The following is a 23,435-nucleotide window of genomic DNA, read 5'->3' on the forward strand; positions in this document are numbered from 1 at the left end:
GGGTCTCGGGAGGAGTGTAGGTGAAACGGAGCTTGGCTGTTTATCCTTCTCCTCCCATTCCTGCCCTTCTCCCTGGGCTGGCAGCAGCCCCTGCCTGGTGGCCTCTTTGTTGCCAGCTGCCCCTGACACAGCCTCTGGGAGAGAGAGGTTGTCTTTTGCATATGGTTCTGAAGAAAAGAGTGCCTCTCTCCCTGTTCCTCCTACTTAGTGTGACATGGTCAGCTCCCCCTAATTGTCCCCTCCCTCTCATCTGGGCAATGAGGAAAGTTGTCTGAGTTAGTTCCTTCTAGAGATGAACGACAATCAGGCTGTCTTAACAGAGCTGTTCTGGGTACACAGAGAAAAAATCGCTGTGTCCATTTTACAGATGCAGAAAGGGGGGTACAGGGAGGGAACATGATCCAGTCACTTGACTGAGGTGTGACTGGTTAATGGTCAAACTGGGACTCTTGATTCCCACCTAACAGCCCCAGTAGAACCTTCTCCAGGATGCTTCTTACTGTAGGTTTCCTTCAAACCAGTCTGCAAAGTTTTTCTGTTAGGGGCCAGATAGTACTTTCTGCTTTGCGGGACATTCAAGCTCTGTCAAAATGACTTACCTTTGCCATTGCAGCGCAAAAGCAGCCCCGGAGGACCCATGAACAGATGGGCACAGCTGTGTTCCAATAAAACTTTATTTGTGGACACTTACATTTCAAATTTATTATCATTTTCATGTGCCATGAAATATTCTTCTTTTGATGTTTTTCAACCATTTACAAATGTAAAAGCCATTCTTAGTTTGCACGCAGGCTTTACAAAAACAAGTTCAGACCAGAGTTTGCTGATCTCTGGTTTAAACCACAGAAATTACTGATGATGGAAGTCCAGGCTGGGTGGAGAGATTAGAGGAGGCGGGAAGAAGTGCGGGAGGGGCTTCCCAGGCCCTCCTGTACCCTATTCGTCCAGGGTCCACCTGTGAGGGCCTTCCTTGGGCCGAACGCCCCTCTTTGTGCAACGCCAGGGGTCAACGGGTCAGAACTGGAGCACTGCTCTTCGCTAGGCTGTTAATTTTTTATGGAGCTGGGGACTTTGTGGAGGTGATGCAGAGGCGGAGACCCACAGAGGGGAGGTGCCACTCCTCTCTCACCCCTGCTGTCTCCTGCAGGCCGCTCCCAGTCTCACGCAGGCCTTCCATGTTTGTGAAACTACTACTTGTTAAGTCTTTGTCCAGTGTCTTACAGACTTGAGGTTTTTTTTTTTTTTTTTTTTTTTGAGACAGAGTCTCACTGTGTCGCCCAGGCTGGAGTGCAGTGGCGCGATCTCGGCTCACTGTAAGCTCCGCCTCCTGTGTTCATGCCATTCTCCTGCCTCAGCCTCCAGAGTAGCTGGGACTACAGGCATCCGCCACCAACCACGCCCAGCTAATTTTTTTTTTTTTTTTTGTAGAGATGGGGTTTCACCGTGTTAGCCAGGATGGTCTCGATCTCCTGACTTCGTGATCCGCCTGTCTCATCCTCCCAAAGTGCTGGGATTACAGGCGTGAGCCACCGTGCCCGGCAACTTGGGTTTACTTAGTCCTTCCAGGAGCTCCAGAGCCAAGAAACAGCATCCCCATTTCACAAATGAGAGAAGGAGAGCTCAGAGAAGGAAGCCACTTATCTATCTCACACAGCCTGGAGGGGAAGAGAAGGACTCAGCCCAGGTCCATCTGACTCCAGAGTCCTGGGCTCTGACCACCAGGCTCCCCTGCCTCCACTTTCCAAGGAAGGGGGAAGAGAGAGAGGGCCAGGGGCAGGCTGAAGACAAGGGCCCTTGGCAATTCAAGATGTGAGGAGCTAAAAAGGGAGTGTCTATTCAGCCCCCTGCCTCCCCACTTTTCCCTCCTTTTCCATTTGAGGCTATGGAGCGGAGGCCGGGGGAAAGGAGTGACTTACCCAAGGTCACACAGAAAGCCCAAGGCAGACCAGGCCTTGGAGGTAGATTCTGACCCAGTCCCTTCCTCCCCTACACTCCAACTGCTTACCCCGCCCCTAAGGAAGGTTACCAAGCAGAGGAGGCCCCTCCCAAGCAAGCCACAGCCAGAGCCAGAGAGTATTTTCCATCCAAAAAGGGTGTTTGCCACTTCTTTTTCTCTAGCTGCCAGCTGTCATTGGCCAAGACTCTGTCCAAGCTGCCCAGCCCCCTGGTGCCACCTGACCTCTGCGAGTCTGTTTGCACCATCAGGGGTGGAAAACAGGCCTGCAGGTCAGGCATTGAACTCCCTGATGTGGGTTTTCCACGAACCCAACAACTGGACTCTGTGTTCCTGTGGGCGAGGACTGGCAACCTAGGGTCTGGCCTGGAGGACACTCTCTTTTCCCAGGGCCAATGCCCAGGCTTGGGCAGTGGCAAAGTGGCTTCTGGTGCCAACCACAAGGAGGTTTCAGGGTGAGATCCTTGAAGTCTCTACACACCCAGGCCCCTTCATGCCCAGCAGGTCCAGAGCCCTTGGGTGGCAGAGGCGAGAAACGGAGGCAGGAGGAAGCCCACTCCAGGGCTCTGTACACAGGCTGTATCTATGCCTTTAGGTGGCTGGGGGCATTCGATGAGGTCACATCCATTAAGCTTGCCCTGTAGCCACTCAGACAAGTGGCCACCAAAGTTAGAGCTGAGGCCAGGCGCGGTGGCTCACGCCTGTAATCTCAGCACTTTGGGAGGCCGAGGTGGGCGGATCATCTGAGGTTGAGTTCGAGACCAGCCTGGCCAACATGGTGAAACCCCGTCTCTATTAAAAATACAAAAATTAGCCAGGTGCGGTGGTGGGCGCTTGTAATCCTAGCTATTCTGGAGGCTGAGGTAGAATAATTGCTTGAACCCAGGAGGCAGAGATTGCAGTGAGCCGAGATTGTGCCACTGCACTCCAGCCTGGGCGACAGAGCGAGACTTATCTCAAAAAAAGAAAAGGTCAGAGCTGACTCTTAGAAAAGCCCCCAGCTGCAATGTGGAGCATGGAGCAGAGGGGATGGTGAGCACAGGCAGGAGGATAGGTGAGGTGTCTCCTGCAGAGGTGCATGTGAGAGGTCACAGTCATCCAGGCTAAGATAAGAGCAGTGGGGAGAGACAGCAGGAACCAGAGCGCTCACATTCTTCCATTTTCTTGCTGGAGGCCTCAGCCCTCTGCTCTGTGCCAGTATCAGAGCTTATGACAAGCAACTGATCTGGTGGGGGAGGGAAAGGATAAGAGGCATCACTAAGGAGCAGTGTGTGGAAAGACCACATGGCAAAAAGGGCTTGACACGTTGAAACAACCACAGCCAGGCCGGCAGCAGCAGTATAGTGGGTAAGGGCAGAGGAGGAAGTACAGCCATTGAGATTTGAACCTAAGAGTCATGGGGACCATCAAAACCTTGCTTCAGAAACCATTTTATTCATTAATATTGCAGTACATAGCTCTAAAACTTTATAAATCTTTCAATAAAAATATAACTACAAGCTGGGTGCAGTGGATCATGCCTGTAATCCCAGCACTTTGGGAGGTCGAGGTAGGCAGATTGCTTGAGGCCAAGAGTTCAAGACCACCCTGGGCAACATGATGAAACCCATCTCTACTAAAAATACAAAAATTAGCCAGGTGTGGTGGCATGTGCCTGTAGTGCCAGATACTAAGGAGGCTGAGGTGGGAGGATCACTTGAGCCCGGGAGGTGGAGCTGCAGTGAGCCAAGATCGTGCCACTGCACTCCAGCCTGGGAGACAGAGGAGACCTTGTCTCAAAAAAGAAAAATAACTACAATATCATTATTATTACACCTAAAAAATCAATAGTAATTCTGTCTTGCTGTTATTGAATATCTCATCAGTGTTCAAACTTCCAACTGCTTATAAAAATATTTCTTGCTGGGCGCGGGGGTTCACGCCTGTAATCCTAGCACTTTAGGAAGGCAAGGCAGGCGGATCACGAGGTCAGGAGATCGAGACCATCCTGGCTAACACAGTGAAACCCTGTCTCTACTAAAAATACAAAAAATTAGCCGGGCATGGTAGCGGGCGCCTGTAGTCCCAGCTACTCGGGAGGCTGAGGCAGGAGAATGGCATGAACCCGGGAGGCGGGGCTTATAGTGAGCCGAGACCACGCCGCTGCATTCCAGCCTGGGCGACAGAGCGAGACTCCGTCTCAAAAAAATAAAATAAAATAAAAATAAAAATAAAAATAAAAATATTTCTTTTGCACTTAAAAGAAATCAGTATCTAAATGAGATCTAAACATTGTGATTTATTTTATTTTATTTTTGAGACAGAGCACGTTTTGTGCCCAGGTTGGAGTGTGCAGTGGTGCAATCTTGGCTCACTGCAATCTCTGTCTTGGCTCACTGCAACCTCTGCTTCCCAGGTTCAAGCAATTCTTGTGCCTCAACCACCTGAGTAGGTGGGATTACAGGTATACGCCATGACACCTGGCTAAGTTTTTGTATTTTGACTAGAGACAGGGTTTCACTATGTTGCTCAGGCTGGTCTCAGAGTCCTGGCCTCAGCAATCTGCCCATCTCAGCCTCCCAAAGTGGTGGGATTACAGGCATAAGCCACCACACCCAGCCTTGATTTTATCTTTTATAGCTCTTTTAACCCAAAGATTCCCCTTCTGTTTCTTTTTTTTCTTAAAAATCAATTTGAGATATAATTTTTTCCAGGAATGCAAGGTTGGTTCAACACCTGAAAGCCAATCAATGTAACACACCACATTTATAAAATAAAGGAGAAAATCATATGATCATTTCAATAGGTGTAGAAATAGCATTTGACAAAATTTAGTACCTATTTATGTAAAAATCTTTCAATAAATAAGGAAGAAAAGTGAACTTCTTCTGACCAAAAAAAAAAAAAAAAAAACTATGAAAAACCTACAGCTAACATTGTACTTAACGGTGAAAGACTGAATGAATCCTCTGCCCTAAGATCATGAACAGGGAAAGGATAACTACTCTTACCAATTCTATTCAACATTCTACTGGGGATACTGACCATTGCAATAAGGCAAGCAAAAAAGGTACAAAGGTAATAAAGGGGAAAGTAAAACTGTTTCTATTCATAGACAACATTGCTGTCTACCTAGAAAATCCTAAGGTATTTACAAAAATCTACTAGAGTCAATAAGTGAATTTAAAAAAAGTTGCAGAATATAAACCTAATTTACAAAAGTTGATTTTATATGCCAGGAACAATTGGAAAATAAAAATATCATGTATGATAACATCAAAAAATTAAAATTCTTAGAAGTAAATTTGATGGAAGATAGGCAAAACTTATACACATAAAACATTGCTCAGACATCTAAACCAGGATGGATCTCTTGGTACCTCCACTGAAATTGAAGACTTACCCTGATTTGATGATTACACATTGTATACACGGATCAAAACATCACATGTACCCCCAAAATATGTATAACTAAGATATATCAGTGAAAAATACAAAAAAAAAAAAAAGAAAGAAAAGAAACTGAGGACTTTTATACCACCTATCAAAGATGTCTCAACCTACCAGGTCTTCCTCTCCACTGTATGGAAGACTTAGGCCTTTGCCTGGGCACAGGCCTCCACCAGGCCAGTCATCCAAGGTGTCCAATAAATTAGTCATCTCAGAGCTGGGCCCTGGAGTACCCATACCTGTGACCCCAAGAAACTATCTCTTAAACAAACAAACAAACAGAACCTCTCTGGCTGTTGGGGAGGAAATGTTGGAGGGGCAACTAGGGTAAGTGGAGGAGCCAGCAAAGAGACTTAAGTAAGAAATTATAATGGTCTCAGTAAGAGAAGATGGTGGCCCTGTATGGAGGAAGTGGAAGTGGAGAGAAAGGGGCAGACTTGATATATTTAGAAGATATGAATGTTGTTGGGCACGGTGGCTCACACCTGTAATCCCAGCATTTTGGGAGGCGGAGGTGGGTTGATCACCTGAGGTCAGGAGTTCAAGACCAGCCTGGCCAACATGGTGAAAACCCGTCTCTACTTAAAATACAAAAATTAGCCTGGTGTGGTGGCGGGCCTGTAGTCCCAGCTATTCAGGAGGCTGAGGCAGGAGTATTGCTTGAACCGGGGAGGCAGAGGCTGCAGTGAGGGTGCCACTGTACTCCAGCCTGGGTGACAGAGCAAGACTCCAAATTAAAAAAAAAAAAAAAAAAAAGGAAGGTATGAGTGTCTCAGATCCCAGTGCCTTTGTTTCTCCACCTGCTCAGGCCTAGGTGCTGCTTTGTTTTTAGGAATGCCACCAAGATCACTTACCTAGAAGGTGCAAAGGCTCCTGGAGGACCCCTGACCTAGGTGTGGGCAGGGGGTAAGATGAAAGTCAAAGGCCATGGTGCCCCAGTCTCAGGTGGGGGAATCCCTTTGGGCCACGCCCCACTTTGGCCCTCAGCACTGCTCTGCAGGGTAAGGGCCAGGGCAGGGTTGAAGGTCCCCCTGGCCGATGGAGGGGTCCAGGCAGAATGGGGCTCATTCAGAAGCTGGCCAGTCCTCCCTCACCTTGGTCTCTGCCTCTGGGCAACCACTCACCCTGCTGTTGGTGGCAGGACGGTGGGGGTGGGGGGCGGGGTGCTGCTGGCAGTTTGGGCCCCTGTTTTCTTCTCAGGAGCGCTGTGACCTCACTGTCCCTCATGTCACTGGTGCATGTGAGTTAGGAAGGGTCTGTCCCCTAGGCTGGAACCATTTCTGCGGCAAGGAGTAAAGGTCCCAGCAGCCTGTGACCCTGGGACTGTGACCTCAGTTCAGCTCAGGCTGGAGCTAAAGCAGAGGGTTTGAGCCAGAGCTTCAGACACTGGATTCTAGCTCCGCTCTGCCACTCACATGCTGTGTGGCCTTGGGAAAGATACACCGTCATTCTGTGCAGCAGGTTTCTGCCCATACCATTGAGATAACAATCACAGGTACTTCATACAGGGTAGTCGTGAAGGTGAAAACAGAATGCTTGCTCTTTCCAGGGCGACCCTACCAATGAGAAAACAGGCTGCAGTGGGGAGTGACCGCCCCAAGGACACACAACTGCTGCAAGGGTGTCATTGTGTAGGTGTTCCTCACTTGCCTCCTGCTAGTGTGGGAGGCCCAGAGACTCCACGAGACCCCCAGCTGCTCCTGTGAGAGGGCTGAGGGGGGCCAGCTGTGATACCGCCTCCCATCTAGAAGGGGCCTCAAGCCACCCATGTACACCCAGCCCCACGTGGCTCACCAGGGGCCCCTTTGCCATCAAGGGCCACATCCCAGGTTTAAGTGTCAGAGAACTAAGGGGCTTAAGAGAGAATCGAGCTGTGGCTTTGTTTGTGAATTGGTTTGATCCTTTTTTCCTTCTAGAAGGACTCACAGCTACTGTTGCTTGCCATGGGCTTGAGGGGGTGGTGGGGGCTGACTGGCAGAGGGGCTGAGAGTGGATGGTGATTAAAAGGAGCACTGACTCCAGGGTAGCGGCTGGGCAAGGCTTGGGGCTCCCACCTCCCCCAGGTTCAGAGCCGGCTGAGGACCGGGAGTCCTCCCTTCTGGGGTCAGTGCTCACTATGGAGCAACTGCCTTGGATGGGGTCCCAGGACTTGCTCTTTTACTGGGGCTGTGGTTGCAGTGATCAGGGCTTTGGAGCCGGCAGACCAAGCTGGGAAACTCCTGAGGTAGAGAAGCTGTTGAAGGCGGGCCTGGGGTCACAACTCCCAGCTGCTTTTTACAAGCAAGAGACTTCTCTCTGAACCTCAACCTTCCCTCCTGTCTAGTGGGTTCGCAGCCAGACAGTCTTTTACTCACTGCTTACTGGGTGCCCTCTGGAGTCTGGGCAGGTGCCAGGCTCTGAGAAGACAGGCCAGCAATCAGCCCTGGCCTAAGGGATGAAAGCCGGGCCTTCCCGCGCCGGCTCACCTCGGTTTTCTCATCCTTACTCGGCTACCAGAGGCTATGGTTGGGGAGGGAGGGGGCTCTGGGGGCTGCAGAAGGCCCAGGCTGCCGGCACCGGATAGAAGTGAGCACGAAGCTCCCTGCGCCAGTGGAACTTTTATCCCGGCTCCCACCGCGAAGCGTTTAAATTGCTTCCCCAGGGCCAGGAGGCAAGTCTCTCGAAGGACGGCTGCGGCCACCCTCCGCCCCTGAGTTACATGGGTCGCAGCCACTGCCGCCCTCCTTGGCGCCTCCAGCCCGCGGGCCAGGGCCAGGAACCGCGAGCCGCCTGCGCCCCCGCCGGCGCGCCCCTGGGAGGGTGAGCCGGCGCCGGGCCCAGGCCCGGACCTGGTGGGAGGCGGGGGGAGGTGGGGACGAGGCCTGGGGAGGCGGGCCCCGCCCATCTGCAGGTGGCTGTGAACGCTGAGCGGCTCCAGGCGGGGGCCGGGCCCGGGGGCGGGGTCTGTGGCGCGCGTCCCCGCCACGTGTCCCCGGTCACCGGCCCTGCCCCCGGGCCCTGTGCTTATAACCTGGGATGGGCACCCCTGCCAGTCCTGCTCTGCCGCCTGCCACCGCTGCCCGAGCCCGGTAAGGAGCCCTCGGCCCCTCTCGCTGCCCACTCCCTAGCCGAGAGCACCCGCTTCCCGGGCCCAGAGGAGGAGGCGTAGAAGACGCCCGCCCCGGGGCCCGCGGAGGCAGAGGGCGGACCCCGATCGCCACTCGCCGGGGACTGGGACCGAGGCAGGAGGGAAGGGGCTCCCGATGCTCAAACGCCTGGCACCGGATTCCAGGTTTCTGGAGCGTGGGGGACGCGGCGGGGGCGCGAGTCCCCGGGGGCGCGAGTCCCCGGGTCCGAAGAGCGGCTCGGGTTATTTGTTCCCTGCGCAGCCGGGTCCTTTCTGGACTCCTTGTCGGATCCGGCTTCCTCTGTGTCGTGAAGCCCCCACATGGAGACCTGGGGAGTCCGGAGCGTGTGGGGGGGCTCCCGATTCTCTCTCCCTCTCTCGGACTCGCCGTCTGTCTCCACCTCTATTTCTCTGCGTAAAACCAGGAGTCCAGCCCCTCTGGGGCTTGGACGTATCGCTTTCCCCGCAGCCTCAGTTTACCCTGGACAGATGGGCATGGTGGCCCTGGCTCCCTTCCCTGCAGGGGGCGGCAGCCACCTGGCCCTCCCCGGTGGGGCTGGCGGCCTCGCGGCGGGGTTTCCTGCTGGCCTGGGCTGGGCTCTGTGGGAGGGGCAGTGCCAGGAATATTTTCTATTCGGGCTGCTGTTGCCTTTGGCCCCTGGGCGGCTGCGCCCTCCAGGGAGGCAGGGTCATTGTGAAAGAGAGGAAACTCCTCTCCCAGGCGGCCAGGGCTGTTCCTGAGGAGGGCTGGCCTGGCCTCAGTATTCTTCTCTGAGAAGTGGAGAGTCCACTCCCGAGCAGCCGAGTCAGGCTGCAGGTCTCAGGGCAGGAACAGACCTGTTCTCTCCCCAGGGGTAGATCAAGACCTAGGGGACTTGGGCTTTGATCCTCCCGCTCCCAGCAAGCACAAACCCAGTGATGGGGAGAGCTGGTGAGGCCTTGGCTCAGCCTCCAGATTCCCAAGCTTCCTTTTCATTTTCTTTTCTTTCTAAAAATTTATCAGAGATGTGGACTCGTCATGTTGCCCAGGCTGGCCTCGAGCTCCTGGGCTCAAGCGACCCTCCTCCCTCGGGCCTCCTAAACTGCTAGGATTACAGGCTCGAGCCACCCAAAGTGCCTGGCCCCCAAGCTTCAGTCTGTTAGAGCTGGCTGGGGCTGAGGGCTCAGGAAACATTTGCAGATACTGTGCGGCTGCTAAGGGCTCTGTAGACTGTTGGGTGCTGGGCCTGGGTCCAATTGCACAATAACTGTGCCTGGGGTTAGGTTCTGATGAGAGGGAGGGAGAAGCAGCCACACGGACTGGGAAGCTTGGCTAGGAGCAGGAACTGGAGGAGTCTCCATTCCAAACTCCCTCTCCCTCCCAGACCCCTTAGGCCCAAGGCCTAGGGCGGGGAAGTTTGGGGGTGGGGGCGGGACCCTGTCCTGGCGGGGCCATCTGTGCACCATGCTGAGAAGTAATTCTGGTTCTGCTCTGTGGGGGTGGATCAAGTGAATGAATAGTGACTCCTGCCTGCTGAGCGCCTGGCCGGTGCGGGGGCAGACACGTCGTGAGAGGGAAGGGGAGGCCCCACTCTCAGCACAGTCTCCATTCCTGAGTGCTTGGGAAGCAGGCCCAGGGCCGCAGGAGCCTTGGGGTGGAGCCAGGCCCAAAACAGCCTGCTGCACAAGCGCTTCCCCCTCCCAACCCGGGCCCATCTCATCTTTGGCCTGCTGGGAGGCCAGCCAGGTCAACCAGATGCCTCATCTGAGCACTGACTACACAGTCCCTGAAGTCAGTGGCTTGCCTGTGGGCACCAGGCACCCATGTGGAAAGAGGTAACTTCGCTGGAATTCAGAGTCTAAGGCTCTGATTTCTGATGTAGCTTTGGGCAAAGTTGATCTTCCAGGGCGTGGCTCCCTCCCCAGACTTGGGGTCGACCAGGCACCCATAGGCACTTTGATATGAGTGGAACGAATGAATGAATGTGCCCTTCGTCCATCACCAAAGACAAACCGAGCTCAGCTGAGTTAGAATGTCAGCGAGGGGTTGCAGGGGAATCTTCCACGGGGCAGTAGGCCTGAGCTATAGCACACAGGCTCTCCAGAGAAATAGTGGGCAGGTTGGCCATGACTCACTGGGGGGCTGGTTTTCTGGAAGGTGTGTAGAGTGAAGGGGAGATCTGAGGTCTCCTAGGAGCCAGGGAGTGGAAGGCCTAGTGCAGGGAAGAGCAAGTGGCCTGCAGTCAGGCTGGGTTTGAAGCCGCTAGCTTGTGACCTCGGCTGGCCGCTTAGCCTCTGCCTCCTCCTTTGTAAATAGGTGGTAATGGCAGTCTCCACCTTGAGAGGATGCACCTGTGACTGTGAACATAGTAGCCGCTCTTGTTGTCATTCCAGCTCTGACGTTTTCAAGTAGCACGAGTTTTCCTTAGTGTCAAGTGAGCGCCCAGGCTGGCCTGTTTGCTGGAAGCTGGACAGATGGCTGTGGCTGGGGCCACAGAGAATGCCATCCCAATGAAAGCCAGGTGGCTCTGGTACCTTGACGCGAGGCCACCTTCCCTCCTCCCAGGTGTCTCTTCCGGGGAAGGAGGGCTGGAGGGCAGTGGGCATTTGCCAGGGAGCTGGAGAAACCTGCCGTGGCCCTTTCTGGGGGATGTGGTGGGGGTGGAGCTGGGACTAGGGGAGGCTGAATTCAGCCAGGATCTGCCTGCCAGGCGCAGCTCCCAGGAAGAAAGCCCAATGTCTGGGAGGGTCAGAACCCAGAGGGCTGTCAGGTTGTACAGATGAGGAAATTGAGGCTTAGCAAGCCAGGAACTTGGCTGAGGTCAGCCATAGCAGCGGTGCACAGAGCTTAGTGGGCACATACATGCTTGGTGCCCAGCTCTGGGCTCCTTCCCCCAGCATCTCACCCAATCCTTACAGTCGCCCTGTGGGGAGCAGGCTGTTTGCACCCCTATTTTGCAGCTGAGCAGTTATGCTAGAGAGCTGAAGCCACTCAAACCCATGTCTGGTGGACTTGACCTCTGTCCTGTGCCTGGAGTGAGCGCTCACTGGATTGCAGCTGTGGTTCCTTCTCTCCCTGTCACTTCCTCCCCCGACATCAAACCCTCAGTTTCATTTAGTTTTTGCCTCGGGCTGCAAATGCAGCTTAGGGACCTGCGGAGGCTGAGGGAGGGGGGTGCCCCACCCGCTGCTGGGAGGGCAGGAGCAACGCTGCTGTCTGATTGCATCATTTTCCCAAGCCCATCTGCCCAGCTCATTTCTCTGCATGCATACACTGGCCCCAACACCCACACACGTGTGCATGCACACAGGCACACATGTGCAAGCCCAAACACATCACACACATGCATGCACACACATTGTGTACTCTCAGGTACGCACCCCTGGGTGCACACAGGTGTGTGCGCGCGCACACACACACACACACACACACTGTCTCAGGTACACACGCCAGGTCCATGCATTGCTTCACACTGCCCAGCCCCAGAGGCTGAAGGCCTCAGAGCCCACACCTGCCCAGCTACAACCTGGCAGGCAGGAGGGGCTCACTGGTTTCTTTTGGTTTATTTAAGACAGAGTTTCACTCTGTCACCCAGGCTGGAGTGTGGTGGCACGATCTTGGCTCACTGCAACCTTTACCTCCCAGGTTCAAGCGATTCTCGTGCCTCAGCCTCCCAAGTAGCTGGGACTACAGGTGTGTGCCGCCACACTCAGCTAATTTTTGTATTTTTAGTAGAGACGGGGTTTTGCCACGTTGGCCAGGCTGGTCTGGAACTCCTGACCTCAAGTGATCCACCCACCTCGGCCGTCCAAAGTGCTGGGATTACAGGCATGAACCACTGTGCTCGGCCATGAGAGCATGTGTAGGACTCCACAGCTTCAGGGCACCCCAGCCCTCTTTTTGCGGTGAGGAGCTGACCTCCAGAGAGTGGAACTAGTAGCATTGTTCTAAGTGCCTGCCACAGGCATCTGGGAGATGGTCCCTGTTTCCATGGAGCTCATAGTGGGGGAGAGGGCAGTTAGAATACAGCATGATGGCCGGATGTAGTGGCCCATGCCTGGAATCCCAGCACTTTGAGAGGCTGAGGCAGGCAGATCGCTTAAGTCCAGGAGTTCGAGTCCAGCCTGGGCAATGTAGTGAAACCCCATCTCTACAAAAAATACAAAAATTAGGCAGGTGTGGTGGCATGTGCCTGTAGTCCCAGCTACTTGGGGGTGGTGGCACTGAGCTGGGATGGGAGGATCCCTTGAGCCCAAGAGGTGGAGGCTGTGGTGAGCTGAGATTGCATCACTGCACTCCAGCCTAGGTGACAGAATGAGACCCTGTCTGAAAAAAAAAAAAAAAAAAAAAGGATACAGCTCTGATGGGCAGGAGGCATGGCGGGTCACTGAGGCGATGCAGGTGATCCAGCTGTTTCTGTGGAGCTGCCCCTCCGTGTTTCTGTGGAGCTGCCTCTCTTGGCTCCAGGTGCCTCTGGGAGGAGGCAGGAGCAGGGGTGACTCTCAGAGCTGGGTGAATCTTGGGCCAGCATCATCAGATCACACTTGCCCAGGACTTCCCTTCCTTGAGTCTCCAGTGGTGGTCTTGTACCTATGAGCAGGGGGTTAAGGAGCCGAGCTGATCTGAGTTGGAGTCCTGGCTCTGCTGCCTACCAGTCAAACGAGATGCAGGGCAAGTTCCTCAGCCCAAGCCTCAGTTTTCCTGACTCTAAAATGAAGAGAACCCCAGATGGAAGGGCTTAGCCTAAGACGGACATGTCTATTCCCTTGATTGTGGTGTTGATGTCACGGGCGCATCCGCACGCCGAAACTTGCTAAATTGGACACAAAAAAATATGCGATTATTTTTGTAGTTGATGAATGTGCTGATTGGGTATTCTCGTGTGTGTGTGAGGTGCCACCCTCAAACTTTGTTATGATGTTGGCACATTACCCATCTGATATTTAAAAAATGCAATTTATGATATGTCAAGTAGACCTCAATAGAGCTGTTTTAAAACATACAACAGAATTTCCCGCAACCCAACCACACCACCCGCGCCATCACACGCAAACAGGGGTAGGCTTCCACATATTTCCTGAATGCCTTCTGGAGCAGGGGGCAGGAGGCAGGAGGCAGGACAGGTGGCTCTGGGGCTCCTGGACCTCCTCTGCTCAGTGAGGCTGCTCACAGGAGATTGGGCGGCTGGAAAGTAAGGTTTAGGGCCTCTGGGATGGCCCAGGCTACCTGCAGGCAGCTGAGTAGCTCTGCTTTTGCAGAGTGGTTCACTGCACTGTGAAAACAGATTCCAGACGCCGGGAACTCACGCCTCCAATCCCAGGTACTGCCCACCTTAAGTCCTCCCTGCCTGCCTTCCTCCCTCCTTCCCTCCATCCTGCATGGCCAATTGCCTGGCTGCAGTTGCCATGGATACCACCTGCTGGCTCCAGGGTTAGGGCTGGCTGAGTCACCAGCAACTCAGGGGCAGGGGGTTGAATGCCCAGTAGGGACGTTGTGGGCACCGACCAGAACCATCTTCTCTGCCCCAGCTGCATGGTCCATGAGGTGTTTCCCCTTCTAAGTCCAAAGGGCAGCACAGGCCTGTGAGCCCCGGCTGACTGGCAGGTGGGACCGTGCAGCATGCACGGGACTGAATTCTCATGTGACGGAGCTCCAAAGTCCACCTGGCTACACGGCCAGGCTCTGCAGCAGAGGACGGGAGGCCTGGGAAAGGCACTTCCTCTCCCCGAGCTTCCAGGCACACAGAGAGTGCTCAGGATAGCGATGCCTGCATCACTGCAATGGTGATGGCCGGGTGACCCTTCTGGGCTCCACTTCCCCAGTAGTGTCTAATAAAGACCCTGGGTGACTCTGACCTTGTGACGTTGGTCAGACTCCAGTGGAAACGTTCCCAGGCAGAACAAACATGCCCTGTACATTTGGGAAATGCGGGATGCTGGGGCCAGGTGTCCACGGAGGCTGGAACCAGGAGGCCTGGGCCCACATCTGCCCCTGCTGCTTGTTGATCCGATGACCCTGGGCAGGTGACCTCGTCTCCCTAACCCTGGTTTCCTGTTCAGCAAATTGGACACAGTGAAGACGCCCAAGCCCAGGGCCACAGGAGGCATGTGGGGGAGGGGGGTGCAGGGCGAGCCCAAGGGCAGCCCAGGATTCAGGGAGAGCCCTCGGGGAAGAAGCATGGCTGCAAAGATCAGGAGACAGGAGGCCTTGGCGCCTTCGGGAGGCTTCATTGTGACGGAGGGTGGGGCAGGATGGGAGACCGCAGGCACTTCCCGGCTGCAGAGGGCCTGGCTGCAGAGAGCCCTCGTGCCCATCTGTCCCCCCGGGAAGGGCCGCTGGTTGCAGAGGTCTTAGGCCTCTGCCTGTCTATCGCCTTCCCTCCCTGGGCCTCAGTTTCTCTACCTCCACACTGGGGGAAGTTGGTCTCTGAGCCCCTCCAAACTGGGCATTGGCAGAGTTGAATTCAGAGGCGCTCACATTTGGAGACACGATGTCTAAAATTCCAGCCAGTGAAGGTTCCATGGGGTTGCAGGTAGGAGAGGGACTGGGGCTGGGCCCCTGCCCCACAGCATCCTTCTCCACCTGCAGGTGGGCGGCGGCACTGCGTGCTGGGGAAGCACAGATTCTTGTGCCCTCTGTGACCTTGAGCCTGCCACTGACCTCTCTGAGCCCTGCTGGCTGCCTCCCCAATAGGAATGACAACTCCTACTTCATGAGGTTGTAGTGGGGGCTCAGGGGCACAGGGAGATCCCGCTGAGGCTCCCAGGGCCCTGCCTGGTGCTTGGCAAGGAGCAGTTCTGATGGGGGATGTGTCAGCTGCCAGAGGCTCAGAGCCAAGGCCCCTCCCACATCTCCTGCCTGCGTGCATTCCTCACATCCTGGCCTTGGGCCAAACTGCTCAGCCTCAGCCGCCTTCCCTCGATGCTGGAGGATCAGGTCCAAGAGATGCCTCTCCCCGACCAGCCTAGGACTGCAGTCAGCATTCCCAGGCCCCAGTGTGGTCTGTGGGGCTGTGTGCAGAGTGTGCGAGGTCAGGGTTCCCGGGGGTGGCAGGCACTGAAGGTGAACATCCTGTTCCCGACCTTCAGTGGCAGCTTGCCCAGGAGACAAGGCTGTCCAAGGCCAAGGTCGGGGCTGGGCTGTCTGCAGGGGCTGGCGGGGGGCACTGGCTGTCTCAGGGTCACTCAGGTTGTTCCTCGACTCCCGCCAGACGCTATGTCCAGCAAAGGCTCCGTGGTTCTGGCCTACAGTGGCGGCCTGGACACCTCGTGCATCCTCGTGTGGCTGAAGGAACAAGGCTATGACGTCATTGCCTATCTGGTGAGGGAGCGACCTGGGTGTCTGTCTTCCTGCGTGTCCTGCAACCTGTCCTGTCTGCCCCCTGCCAGCCTCTGTCTGGGTTGTCAGCCTGTCTGCTCACCGTCACTCATTCAAGCCTGGCCTCTTCTCTCGAAGCCTGTCTTGAACTGGAACTAGGAAAATAGCTTCTCGTTGTACTGCCTCACTTTCTCCATCTGCAAATTGGCCATCCTTGAGATGCCTTCCAGAGCCAGGTGATGGAGGCGCGGGGAGGGCACAGAAGTGAACTTGGCAGTGCTGCTGGCTTAGCCTGCTTGCAGAGAGGCATGGGCTGGGACCTGCTGCCAGCCCTGGGAAGGCACACAGTCTTCCCATCTCCAGAGTATGCTGTCAGCCTGCAGTAATTCAGCAAAGATTGTGGAATCCTGAGCTGGAAGGACCCTGGGGGATCACCTGGTTCTGGGATGGGAAATAGGTCACAGGTGATGGGTTATGTGTGAAGCCACTTCCTCATCCAGGGCCCATAGGAGTCATCCCTCTCAAACTAGCTCCTCTTCGACTGAACCTGGCCACAGCTCTGAGTCCTTCTCTGTGTGGCTGTGCTGTTCAGGACTCTTAGGTGCAAATTTTAGAAACTGAACTCAAACCAACTTACGCAAAAAGGAAAGGGAAAAGACAATTCTTGGCTCACACAACTGAGAACTCCAGGGGTAGGATGGCTTCAGGCAGGGCTGGATCCAGGTGCTTCTAAGATCTATCTCCAACTCTACTTGGCTTCATTCTTGGCCTCTCCACAGGGCAGGCAAGGCTCATGGTCACCCTCATAGCCCACCTTTCCCAAAAAGGAGGGCTTACCCCCAGTAGGGCCCATGGGGACCCACCACGCATTAGTCCCTATGGCTGCATCATGGGGTGCGAGGCTTGGGCCATGAGCCTACTCCTTCAGTGGGCGGGATTTCTTCCTCTCCATCCCTGTGGAATGGGGTCCACCCAGGAAAGAAGGTTCTGTTTCCAGAGGAAGTGAGCCTGGGTCTCTGGACAGACAAAACTTAGCTCTTGCCAAAAGTGGCTTGTTTGCCGGCATATTGGCATGTCTAACTGCGCCCAATGCCCTTGTCATTCAGGTTGGGGAAAGTGAGGCCCAGGGGAAGAAATACTTTGCTCACAGTCACCTGGTGGGTGAGAGCACAGCTTTGAGGGGCTGCAAAGAGCCCAGGGTGTATCCATCTCACTGTAGGTAGCACAGCGGGGCAATCAGAGCTGGAGCTGGGCGTATAGACCCCTGGGCTACCACCTGGGGGATTTAAAAGCTGAATGTGATTCAGATAAGCACCTGCAGCTGGGCTTTGGCAAGATTCCAGGGTCTGGTGAGCCGAATGAAGGGAGTGAGGGCTGAGGCCAGGATCTGGGCAGCAGGCCAGAGTCCAGGCAGCAGGAAACATGGCAGTGTCTAGACAGGGGCTGTCAGACCCCGAGGTCAGGGCACTGGCCACAGGGACGGAGCTGGAAGTTCCTGAGCACGGGCTTCTCTGCCTCCCGCCTCTCAGCTGCCTCAGGATGGCCAAGGCATGGCCTTTGACTAGGGAGGAGAGCTGGAGGCTAGGAAGGCCCTGACAAGCTAATCTTTGCACTGGCTGAGAAAGAGTTTTCTGGAAAAGACAGATGAGTTTCAGGAGAACCCTAGACCTTCCAGCAATGACAGCAGATGGTTGTCTCCCAGCAGCCTGTGTGGCCAGGGCCAGGCTCAGCCAATGCTCCAACCCATGGAAGCCACCAGCCATCACCACGCTACAATCCAGCTCCCAATCTCACCTCCTGGAAGAATCTCACCTCTCCAGGCCTTGGGCTTTGTCCTTTTTCCTTCTTACTGTGACTTGGCCATGGAATGGAAGCTGTCTCTGTAGCAGGGGGTGGGAGGCTGCTGCATGCGGATGGTGTGAACTCAGGGCTCCCCCCAGGGGCTGACGGAGCCTCTCCGCTTCTGCTTCTCAGGCCAACATTGGCCAGAAGGAAGACTTCGAGGAAGCCAGGAAGAAGGCACTGAAGCTTGGGGCCAAAAAGGTACCAGGCGGGAGGCAGGGATTTGGGCTGGGAGTGGGGCGGTGATGTGGAGGGCAGTGGTGGATGCTCCTGCCCCAGGGATCCCATCCCTTCCAGTGTGTCTTCTTGCTTCTAAGAGTATGAGATCATCCTGCTCTCAGGTGTGTGAACCCTCTTGTTTTTCTGCCTCCCCCACGCCCTCTTCCACCCACCCACCTTCCCATCCAGGTGGAGTGTCTCTTCCCCACCCACATACCTTCCCTTCTCTTTTATCTCTCTGTCCATCTATGCACCCACTCACCCTCTTTTATCTCTGTTTATCTACTCGTCCACATATCCATCCATCATTCATCCCTCCATTAGCTATCCATCGATCCATCCATCCATCCATTCAGCCATCCATCCATCCATCACCCACCCATCCATTCACCCATCATCCATCCATCCATCCATCCATCACCCACCCATCCATTCACCCATCATCCATCCATCCATCCATTCATCCATTCATCCATCATCCATCCACCCATCCATCCATCACCCATCCACTCATCCACCCATCCATTATCCATCCATCCATTCATCCATCCATCCATCATCCATCTATCCATCTATCCATCCATCCTCCGTCCATTCATCCATCATCCATCCATCCATTCACCCATCATCCATCCATCCATCATCCATCCATTCATCCATCATCCATCCATCCATCCATTCACCCATCATCCATTCATCCAGCCATCATCCGTCTATCCATCCATCATCCATTTATTCATCCATCATCCATCCATCCATCCATCATTCTTCATCCTTCCATGCATCATCCATTCATCCATCCATCATCTACCCATGCATCCATCCATCATCCATCCGTCTATTCATCCATCCATTCATCCATCCATCATCTATCCATCCATCCCATTATCCATTCACCCATCCATCCCTTCATTATCCATCCATCCATCCACATATCCATCTGTCATTAATCCCTCCACTGTCTATCCATCCATTCATCCAGACAGCCAGCCATTCATCTATCCATCCCCCATCCATCCATCCATCCTTCATCCATTCACCGTTTTTCTATCCATCCATTCATCCATCCATCCATCTGTCATCCATCATCCATCCTTCTGTCCATCATCCCCCTACCTGTCCTTCCCTCTTTTATCTCTCTGTCTACCCATTCTTCCATTCATTCAACAGAATCAGAGAACTCCAATTGAGTCTGGTGCCTTGATTGTGAATCTAGGCATGTGGCAGGCAGACCCCTGTCCCATACAGGGCATTTATGATGAACAGTGTCATCAGGACCCCTGCTCACATGTGCTCACTCCCCATGGAGAAGCCCTTGCCACTTGTGCCCCTTCATTTGGGAGAGTGAGCAGGGGACATAGCAGGGATGATGTGCAAGGCCACCAGCCCACCTGCAGGGTCAGAGCTGATCCCCTCTGTGGGGTGCTTCTGCAGGGTTGCCAGGGTAATTAGCATGTTAAAATGAACACGGGAGGGAGTGGATGCCCCAGTCCCAAGTCACCTACTGGCCACAGGCCTGGAACTAGAATGTCCCTCCTTGGTTCTGTGCCTCCCGAGTGCTGGAGAGCAGAGGGGTTGTCTGAGCAGTAGTCCAGGAAGGGGAGAAAGAGCCCTGAGTGTTGAAGATTCGAGTGCGCTTTCAGCAGCGCAGGAGCAGGCTTTGTGCACGGCTTCAGCTTTTGTCCTTTATTCTAGATGAGCAGTTCTCAAAACTTGTGGTCTTGGGAATCCTCTACACTCTAATTTACGTGGCGTTTTTAATGTTTATTTTCTTGCATATAACATTAGGATGGGCCAGGCACAGTGGCTCACGCCTGTAATCCCAGCACTTTGGCAGGCTGAGGCAGGCAGATCACCTGAGGTCAGGAGTTCAAGACCAGCCTGGCCAACATGGTGAAACCCTGTCTCTACTAAAAATACAAAAATTAGCTGGGCGCGATGGTGGGTGCCTGTAATCCCAGATGCTCGGGAGGCTGAGGCAGGAGAGTCGCTTGAACCCAGGAGGCGGAGGTTGCAGTAAGCTGAAATCACACCATTGCACTCCATCCTGGGCAACAACAGCAAAACTCTGTAAAAAAAACCAACCAACCAACCAAACAAACACAAAAACACATTTATCCTAATGTTTTTTATATATCCTTAGTCCCAATTGCTTTCTTTTCTATGCCTTTTTATTTCATTTTTTAAAAGGATTTTTTTCAAAATAATTATAGACACAGGAAGTTGCAAAAGCAGTACCAAGAATTTCTCGACTCTTAAAAATTATTGAAGGCCTTGGCTGGGTGCGGTGGCTCACGCTTGTAATCCTAGCACTTTGGGAGGCTGAAGTGGGCAGATCTCTTGAGGTCAGGAGTTTGAGACCAGCCTGGCCAACCAGCCTAGTTTCTTTAGTAGAGAAACCCCACATGCCTGTAGTCCCAGCCACTCGGGAGGCTGAGGCAGGAGAATCACTTGAACCCGGAAGGCAGAGGTTACAGTGAGCCAAGATTGCACCTCTGCACTCCAGTCTGGATGACAGAGAGTCCATCTCAAAAAAATAAAAATTACTGAAGGCCTTAGAGAGCTTTTGTGGATTACATCTGTTGATATTTATCACATTAGAAATAAAAGCTGAAATGTTTTAAATGAACAGTTCATGTTAACATAAGTAACATTACACTTATGAAAAATAACTATTTTCTCAAACAAAAAATTTTAGTTAAGAATCTTATTGGCTTCCATTTTTGCAAATCTCTGTAATGTCTGGCTTGACAGAAAACAGATGGACTCTTGTAGCGGTTTTCTGCATTCACTTGTTTTTTCGTTTGTTTGTTTGTTTTTCTTTTTTAGCCTCCCAGGGCTTCCTCGCTATGTGATGCCTTGTTTTATTGAAGTTTATGAAGAAAACTGGGCAACACAGTGAGATCCCATCTCTACAAAAAATAAAAAACTTAGCCGGGCGTGGTAGCACATGCCCGTAGTCCCAGCTACTCAAGAGGCTGAGGTGGGAGGATTGCTTGAACCCAGGAGGTTGAGGCTGCAGTGAGCTAGGATCACACCACTGCACTCCAGTCTGGATGACAGAGAAAGACCCTGTCTCAAAAAAACAAAAAAAAAGTTTTCACTCAGTGTCTCCCTGAAAAGTCATTGGGAACCCCTGGGGGTCTACATTTCAAGAACCATTCCTCTGGATCGGGGTTTCTCAGTCTTGGCCTTGTTCCCGTGTGGCTGGCCGTCCTGTGCACGGGAGGATTTTAGCAGTATCCCCATAGCCTTTACCCACTAGATGCCAGAATTCCACCCCCCACCTGGTAGTTGTGGCAACCAAAAATATCTCCAGATACTTCCAAATGCCTCCCCTACTCCCACCCCCAACAGGGACAAAACCGTCTCTGGTTGGGAACTACTGCTGTGAGATCTTAGGTGACAACTAAGTTTCATCTTGTTGGGGCTGATTTAGAAGCCACATCCAGTTTCACAGAACGGTGCATCAGGATTGATTAGCAGGCTGGCCGCGGTGGCTTGTGCCTGTAATCCCAGCACTTTGGGAGGCCGAGGCAGCTGGATCACCTGAGGTCAGGGGTTCAAGACCAACCTGGCCAACATGGTGAAACCCCGTCTCTACCAAAAATACAAAAATTAGCAAGCCATGGTGGCATGCGCCTGTAATCCCAGCTACTCAAGAGGCTGAGGCAGGGGAGTTGCTTGAACCTGGGAGACGGAGGTTGCAGTGAGTTGAGACTGAGCCACTGCACTCCAACCTGGGCAACAGAGCAAGACTTCGACTCAAAAAAAAAAAAAAAAAGAGAGCTATTGATTAGCAATGTCTGCCATGAGTGCAGGAGGGAGAGTAACAGTGCAGTGTGCTGGGATTGATGAATGATGTCTACTACAGATGCAGAAGAAGAAGCACCAGGTACAGCGGGGGTGGCCCCGTATAGGTCTCAGCTAGCTGAGGCCCCTGGGGCTCTGTATGCCAGATGGCCCCTGTCCTTGCCTACTTCTTCCTTCTGGGCTCCTCTTCCCGTAGGTGTTCATTGAGGATGTCAGCAGGGAGTTTGTGGAGGAGTTCATCTGGCCGGCCATCCAGTCCAGCGCACTGTATGAGGACCGCTACCTCCTGGGCACCTCTCTTGCCAGGCCCTGCATCGCCCGCAAACAAGTGGAAATCGCCCAGCGGGAGGGGGCCAAGTATGTGTCCCACGGCGCCACAGGAAAGGTGAGGCACCTGGGAAGGGCCGGGCAGAGGGAGATGGAGGCGGAGGGGTGTGGGAAGGAGATGAGCACCCCTCGAGCGGTTTCCTGGTGTGCCTCCGGGGCAGACTTGGTGCAAGGCAGCTACATGGCTTTGTTTAGACCCCAATGAGAGGGGTAACAGCTCGCCCCTGCGCTCTGTGCACTGTGGCACCTGAACGCCCATTCTGAGTCCTCACCTCCACCTTCTGCTGTGGGAGCGATGTCACCCCATTTGGCAGACTTGCTGCTGAGGCCTGGGGACATTGTCCAAGGTCGCATTGGCCAAGGTCACTGCGTGAGTCCCCCAGGGGACACGCAGGAAAGTGTTGAAAACCCTGAGTTGGCAGAGTAGGGTTCAAAGGCAGCTCTGCTGCTGGCTTGCCGTGTGTCCTCAGCCAGGGCCCTTCTCCCCTTCCTGAACCTCAGTTTCTTCATTTGCAAGATGGGGCTCATGCCATGTCTTAGTTTCCCAGGGCGAGGGTAACAAAATGTCTCAAACTGGTGGCTTAGAACACAGAACTGTTCTGCCTCATGGTTCTGGAGGCCTGAGGTCCATAGTGAGGGCATGGGCAGGGCCACGCAGCCTCTGAAGGTGCCAGGAAGCCTCCGGCTCAGGCCTCTCTCCAGCTTCCAGTGGCCTCTGGTGTCCCTTAGCGTGTGGCTGCGTCACTCCTGTCCTTCCGTCCTCCATCTTCCCAAGCTGTCTTCTTCCTGTATCTCTGCATTGTCTTCCCTCTGCTTGTCTGTTTACCTTCCCCTTGCTACAGGAACCCGTCTTGGATTAGGGCCCTTCAATGACCTCATCTTAACTTGGTTACTTTTTGTGTGTGTGTGTGGGGGAGAGGGACAAAGTCTCACTCTGACGCCCAGGCTGGAGTGCAGTGGCTCGATCTTGGCTCACTGCAACCTCTGCCTCCCAGATTGAAGCAATTCTCCTGCCTCAGCCTCCTGAGTAGCTGGGATTACAGGTGTGTACCCCACCACACCCGGCTAATTTTTTGTATTTTTAGTAGAGACGGGGTTTCGCCATGTTGGGCAGGCTGGTCTTGAACTCCTGACCTCAAATGATCCACCAGCCTTGGCCTCCCAAAGCACTGGGATTACAGGCGTGGGCCACCATGCCCAGCCTTAACTTGGTTATTTCTGTTAAGACCACATGAGGCCACATTCGGAGGGACTGGGGTTAGGACTTGAACCCATTATTTTGTGGAAACACAAATCAACCCATCCCGTACCCCTTCCCTCCGGGCCGTGTGTCCCAGTGCAGACTGCGGGGTCCCCGTGGGGTGCAAGACAGGAAGCCCCCTGCCTGCTGCTCTTCGGAAGGCAGTCCTTGAGAAACCAGATTCCTGACAATGTTGGCAACTGTCAGC

General features: G+C 53.9%; 1 protein-coding gene and 1 non-coding gene across 3 annotated transcripts in view, besides 7 other annotated features; both read left to right on the forward strand.

Annotated features, from left to right (window-relative positions):
• ASS1 (argininosuccinate synthase 1) overlaps positions 8,163-23,435 on the forward strand; it is a 56,568-nt gene continuing 41,295 nt past the window's right edge. Inside the window, exons 1-5 of one of the 2 annotated variants that reach the window (NM_000050.4) lie at positions 8,163-8,451; positions 13,728-13,789; positions 15,680-15,789; positions 17,761-17,829; positions 21,857-22,045. In NM_000050.4, coding sequence (NP_000041.2) covers positions 15,685-15,789; positions 17,761-17,829; positions 21,857-22,045 — 363 coding nt within the window. In that variant the 5' untranslated portion in view covers positions 8,163-8,451; positions 13,728-13,789; positions 15,680-15,684. The remainder of the gene's footprint in view (positions 8,452-13,727; positions 13,790-15,679; positions 15,790-17,760; positions 17,830-21,856; positions 22,046-23,435) is intronic. The other variant, NM_054012.4, reaches the window with a different exon arrangement.
• Positions 8,220-8,339: a silencer, noted in NCBI's record as "silent region_20401". NCBI's record gives its function as "represses an Ori minimal core promoter by ATAC-STARR-seq in GM12878 lymphoblastoid cells {active_cell/tissue: GM12878}" and the evidence as "EXISTENCE:reporter gene assay evidence [ECO:0000049][PMID:35858748]".
• Positions 9,220-9,887: an enhancer, noted in NCBI's record as "H3K27ac-H3K4me1 hESC enhancer chr9:133321151-133321818 (GRCh37/hg19 assembly coordinates)". NCBI's record gives its function as "activates a minimal SCP1, AML or CMV promoter by ChIP-STARR-seq in primed H9 embryonic stem cells {active_cell/tissue: H9 hESC(primed)}" and the evidence as "EXISTENCE:reporter gene assay evidence [ECO:0000049][PMID:30033119]".
• Positions 10,557-11,224: an enhancer, noted in NCBI's record as "H3K27ac-H3K4me1 hESC enhancer chr9:133322488-133323155 (GRCh37/hg19 assembly coordinates)". NCBI's record gives its function as "activates a minimal SCP1, AML or CMV promoter by ChIP-STARR-seq in primed H9 embryonic stem cells {active_cell/tissue: H9 hESC(primed)}" and the evidence as "EXISTENCE:reporter gene assay evidence [ECO:0000049][PMID:30033119]".
• LOC124902349 (small nucleolar RNA U13) lies at positions 13,312-13,411 on the forward strand. The gene has a single exon (XR_007061925.1). It is a non-coding gene; the product is annotated as a small nucleolar RNA U13 (small nucleolar RNA).
• Positions 14,763-15,464: an enhancer, noted in NCBI's record as "H3K27ac-H3K4me1 hESC enhancer chr9:133326694-133327395 (GRCh37/hg19 assembly coordinates)". NCBI's record gives its function as "activates a minimal SCP1, AML or CMV promoter by ChIP-STARR-seq in naive H9 embryonic stem cells {active_cell/tissue: H9 hESC(naive)}" and the evidence as "EXISTENCE:reporter gene assay evidence [ECO:0000049][PMID:30033119]".
• Positions 14,763-15,472: a biological region, named in NCBI's record as "Sharpr-MPRA regulatory region 491".
• Positions 15,178-15,472: a silencer, noted in NCBI's record as "tiled region #491; K562 Repressive DNase unmatched - State 8:EnhW". NCBI's record gives its function as "represses a minimal TATA promoter and a strong SV40 promoter by Sharpr-MPRA in K562 cells {active_cell/tissue: K562}" and the evidence as "EXISTENCE:reporter gene assay evidence [ECO:0000049][PMID:27701403]".
• Positions 16,939-17,439: an enhancer, noted in NCBI's record as "H3K4me1 hESC enhancer chr9:133328870-133329370 (GRCh37/hg19 assembly coordinates)". NCBI's record gives its function as "activates a minimal SCP1, AML or CMV promoter by ChIP-STARR-seq in primed H9 embryonic stem cells {active_cell/tissue: H9 hESC(primed)}" and the evidence as "EXISTENCE:reporter gene assay evidence [ECO:0000049][PMID:30033119]".

This window comes from Homo sapiens, chromosome 9 (assembly GCF_000001405.40).
Source record: "Homo sapiens chromosome 9, GRCh38.p14 Primary Assembly".
Classification (NCBI taxonomy): Eukaryota; Metazoa; Chordata; class Mammalia; order Primates; family Hominidae; genus Homo; species Homo sapiens.